Genomic DNA, 5,140 nt, shown 5'->3' on the forward strand with positions numbered 1-5,140 from the left:
GCTGCAGCCTGGAAACTCGAGTGGAAATGATGATGGAGTCAGATTAGTCTATTTTGTCTGCAGTCTCATATTTAGGACTCTGCCTTGGCTAGACAGGCAGACACTTTTATTCTGCATATGAGAGAGGCGGGAATGCTTTTTCCAGGCAATTAGCTTAAAAAAGAGTGAGGTTCCTTGGCTTTACTGAAATGCCAGAAAAGATTATGAAGTCTCTAAAGATAAGAAGAAAGCCAGGGTGGTAAATGACATTTTATTCATTAGGATGGATACTCAAGTATTTTTTGCCTCTAAGAATGTTTTGTCCTTTGTACATTGGGGTGGGGCTTCTGCAATACCATTAGCCATAATAACAGCAATAAAACCATCTTACATTTGCATGGTACTTTGCAGTTGAAACATGCTTTTATGAATGTAATTCAAATTATAGAAGAGACTTGTTGGGGCAGGATGGGAGGAGGATGTTTTCAAAGAATGATTGTTCCTGTCTTGTAGGAAATTTAACAATCAAGTCTTTGCTTATGGAGTCTGATTCAGGCTCAGAAACTACAGTTTACACAGTAGGGCTTCATGATTAGGAGAGTGAGCTTTCTTGTCTGTCCCGACCACCCCATGGCCAGTTGCCTAAACCCCACATTGTCCCTGGAAAAGCCCTCAACTCTTCTTCAGTCAACTGCACTCAGAATGGATATCACTCCTGCAGTCTTGGCTTCTGCTCCTGGTTGCTTAGTTTCTAGAGACTGTAGGCTGAAGAGCAGAGCTTCCTAAGAAGTCTGGTTGGGTGGGTGACTTGTACTTGCCCCTTGGACCACAGTTGAGATGACTCTGTCACTAAAACTGATCTTTATCACGGTCCCAACACAGGGCTGTGTTCTGCCTCTTTTTGTTGCCCTTGTCATGGTAGTCATCACTAATTTTGATGCCTGTAATTCTACCTTAGTCTCTCTGTTGTACCTACTGCAAACTACAACCACCATGGCTACCATTTTATACCTCTTTTACCACCTGCGATATGTAGGCAACTAAACAGCAACTGAGTCCTGTATACAACTTGCATTCTGTGGGGTCCTTTGGCTTCTTACATTCTTAGGACCAAGAAGACAGGATTTCATGACATAGCTATCCCACTTGATACCAGGTTTGGCTCTTGCTTTTGTAGATAAGCATCCTGGCAGAAGTGGCAAGCAACACTTTACCTCTTCATCAACCAATGCATGCTTGGTGGAGAAAACAGCTGAACCCACAGGGCAAATTTTAATTATATACTCTTTCAATATAAGAATGTTTGGCTATACTTCCAATTCCTGATCCTACCAGCAGGAAGGAATAATAATCACTGCCTCCAAAGGGCCAGGCAAATAATATGCATTTATTCTGATTCTCATAACCATCCTGCATGGATATCGTCCCCATATAATAGATTAAAAAAACTGAGGCTCAGAGAGGTGAAGTAATTTGCCCAATGTCATACCAATGGTAAGGGCCAGAACTGGCTTTTATACTCAGATCTGTCTGGCCTCAAAGCCCCATGCTCTTTCCACTCCACGTTGCTGCCTCCTGCCTTACTTTCTGCAGTTGACTCATGCTAGGTCTTAGAGGAGGTGCCCAGAACATAAGCAGGTTATCTAAAGCCATCCCATCTTTGAAAAAGTCCTTAGTGATTTTGAGTTTTAGGACTAAATATTTATTATCTTATTTAAGCCTCACAAAACCTCTATGAAGTTGAGAAGGCAGCAATTATTAAAATAGTTATTTGTGGATTGAGGAAACTGGAGCTTAGCAAGGTTAAATGATTTCCCCAAAATTACAAAGCTAAGAGTTGATGGAGAACAGGCTCATTTCTACGTTTTCTGTTTTCAATGTCCTTACATTTTAATGTAACCTCACTCTAAGTCTGATTGAAAAAATAAAATATATTTTATGGAAAATACAAAAAACCCCAAAACCCTACAGAGAATAAAATAAAAATCGTATAATTCTGACTTTCAAGGAACCTGTGTTTTCCTAGCTGCCTCTTTGTAGGCAGAATAGACTTTTCTATCGTTCCCATGCTTGCAGGAACCCCTCTCCACTCTGAGACATGATTATGCCCATCTATGAGACAATGGGGTTGGGCAAAGCACCAGGTCGGGGAAATATGAATCATCTACCTTTTCCTCTACATCAGGGGTGTCCAATCTTTTGGCTTCCCTGGGCCACATTGGAAGAATAACTGTCTTGGGCCACACATAAAATATGCTAACACTAACCATAGCTGACGAGCTAAAAAGAGAAACAAAGATCCATACAAAAATCTCATAATGTTTTAAGAAAGTTTATGAATTTGTGTTGGGCTGCATTCAGAGCCATCCTGGGCCACATGCGGTCCATGGGTCGCGAATTGGACAAGTTTTGCTCTCTGTGACTCTTACAGATTTGAGTCTGCGTCCTGACTTCAGCAATCTTCTTGCTTGTCTCTGGAGACCTGGGTTCCACTCAGGACTGTCCAGGATTGGTGGCTTTGATCCTTACTCAGGTTGGTAGTTAACAAAGACTTCTTTGGTTTATATTCATACAAGTATATCAGAAGTTGCCTCGGATAGAAGAGATCAAAGAAATACACTGGGTCAGCTTCCTTAAAATTGTTTACTTCCCTTAAAACTTAAAAAAGTTAATGATCATGAACTTCTTCACTAGATTTTCTCCCTAAGGCAAGAGACATCTTTATCATTAAGTGAGATTTTGAGGAACCAATTAGAGTGTTAAATTCTTGCTTACAATTATTGATCCTTCTACTGGGAGTAGTGCTCTGTGTGTCTTCAGCTCGTACATGAAGGAGTCAGGACTGGGACCCACTCAGAGTCACAGGGCTAGTGGAGGAGGTGGGAGAGCATCCTGCAGTGGCAAAATGAGGGTGGCCTGAGCAAGTGCCTAAGGATGGAAATAGGATTTCTAGTTTGTTCTGTTTGATTTTCTCAGAGCTACCATTTCTTTACTTGCTTTTATTTGGCTTCCTAGAATGCAGTGAAATGTTTTGATCCCTGCCTAGAAATCCTAGCTTATCAAATTCACACAAGGACTGAGGAACCCTTTGAATCAAAGGTGGAGATTTCTCAGATCCAGGATTTGATCAAAAGCAAGTTTTATGTTCTCCCTAGTCCCTCCTGCAGGCTTGGTTTCAACTCACTGAAAAGCAGAGTGATTCTCTCTTACAGATACTTCTATCTCTGCTTTTCTTTCTGTTCTTTTCTTTGTCCTCCTCCCCTATTCACCCACATTTCTCAATCTCAGTCTGAGAAGCAGAGCCATGCTTCTCAAACTTTACTGGGAAAGCTCCTCACCCAGGGATCTTGTTAAAATGTGGATTCTGATTCAAAGAGCCTGGGGTGGGGTCCGAGAACTCCACGTGGTGGTCACCTCTGTAGAGTCATGAGAGTGCTGTGGGGGCTGCAAGCTTGGCTGCAGACTGATCCACGTATATGCTTTGTGGTTTAGGGGACCTGCTGTGATGTTGCTGTGGTCTCAGGGTGACCCAAAGTTGTCAACAATGAGGAACAAAACAACTCTTTGCCCCACTTTATGTCCCTATAGAGCTCTCATGTGACTCAACACAGGCCCAGATGTTCCCTGTCCCTCATGAGGCTCACTGTGCCAACAATGTTACCATTATTGCTCCTGAGGTCTTAGCTTGCCGGGCATTCCCATGGCCTAAGGGAGGGCTGATATTAGAAATCCTTTACTTCCCCTCTTTTCCTGCTCCCTGGCTTGGTTTTCTGTAGTGAGAGAGGTTCTCCTCTCCATCTAGGGACATGAGGGCAATGTCTACATGATACTTCCAGAACATGCCAGGAGTGGAGAAAAGTTGGAATCCGTGGTGTTGTGACCACTAGGTGACTCTTGGTAATCAAGTTCAGTGTTGACTGACTTGACTGTTTTTCAACAGAGTTGAATCGTTTTGATTAGTTTTTTTCCCTTGTAATTCATTCTTCTTGGTTTCTTACCTGATTAACTGGAAGAGTTTGACTGGTATAACCTTATGGTAGCGCAGCCCTCTGTGATGCGGTTAATTGCTGTGTAAAGGTAGTTTTAACCATATTATCCTTATGCGACCAGGTTGCTCTGAGTTTCCTGTTTTGCATGGCCTCCTAGGAGCCAGGACATCGGTTTTCCAGTTTAGAAGAGTCAGTCCTTAAAATTTTTTTTTTTTTTTTTTTTTTTGAGACGGAGTCTCGCTCTGTCGCCCAGGCTGGAGTGCAGTGGCGGGATCTCGGCTCACTGAAAGCTCCGCCTCCCGGGTTCACGCCATTCTCCTGCCTCAGCCTCCCAAGTAGCTGGGACTACAGGCGCCCGCCACTACGCCCGGCTAATTTTTTGTATTTTTAGTAGAGACGGGGTTTCACCGTTTTAGCCGGGATGGTCTCGATCTCCTGACCTCGTGATCCGCCCGCCTCGGCCTCCCAAAGTGCTGGGATTACAGACGTGAGCCACCGCGCCCGGCCCAGTCCTTAAAATTTAATTGCCCTTGAAAAATGTTGCTGCCGTGTAGTTGGGAGTCAAAATAATTTCCAACCAATTATTTTTCTGTAAATTTAAGTGGATACTGATTCTGTGCTGGAAATCTGAAAGATTCTTGAGTTCTACAACAAATTCTCAATAGGAAGGCATAGAATGTGGTCTATGTATGGTAGGAGTTTTTGGGAGCAGAGGTAAGATGATTGTGTTGGTTGTCATCGTCTTTGGTGAAAGGACCTGACCTAATTCTGTGATAGCAATTGAGAGGTGGTGGGAGAAGTGAATCCTGAAATACTAGGAATAACAGGAGAAGGCCTTACCTAGGACTGCTCCACTGACCATAGGCCCTGAGAGGAGGCACCAGGGAGAAGGCTAACTTGATATGGCACAGGGACACTATTTAGTCAGTCCAAGAGCAGAGTCAGAAGCAAGGGGGTGCAGCATCATGCACCCTGCAGAAGTAAGTCCACCCTGAAATCTGCTCTGGACAGCTCTGACTGGTGCCTCTCCCACAGTCCCTGACCACAGAAGTGGTCCTAGATGCCACAGACTTCAGCCCTTTGCTGCGCTTCCTTGTTTGCCATAGTTCATTGGTTTGGGGTGGACACCTGAGCCCAGGGTGAGAATCCAAAGTCTGACAAGTGGCTTGTGA

Source organism: Homo sapiens, chromosome 11 (genome assembly GCF_000001405.40).
Source record: "Homo sapiens chromosome 11, GRCh38.p14 Primary Assembly".
Taxonomy (NCBI): domain Eukaryota; kingdom Metazoa; phylum Chordata; class Mammalia; order Primates; family Hominidae; genus Homo; species Homo sapiens.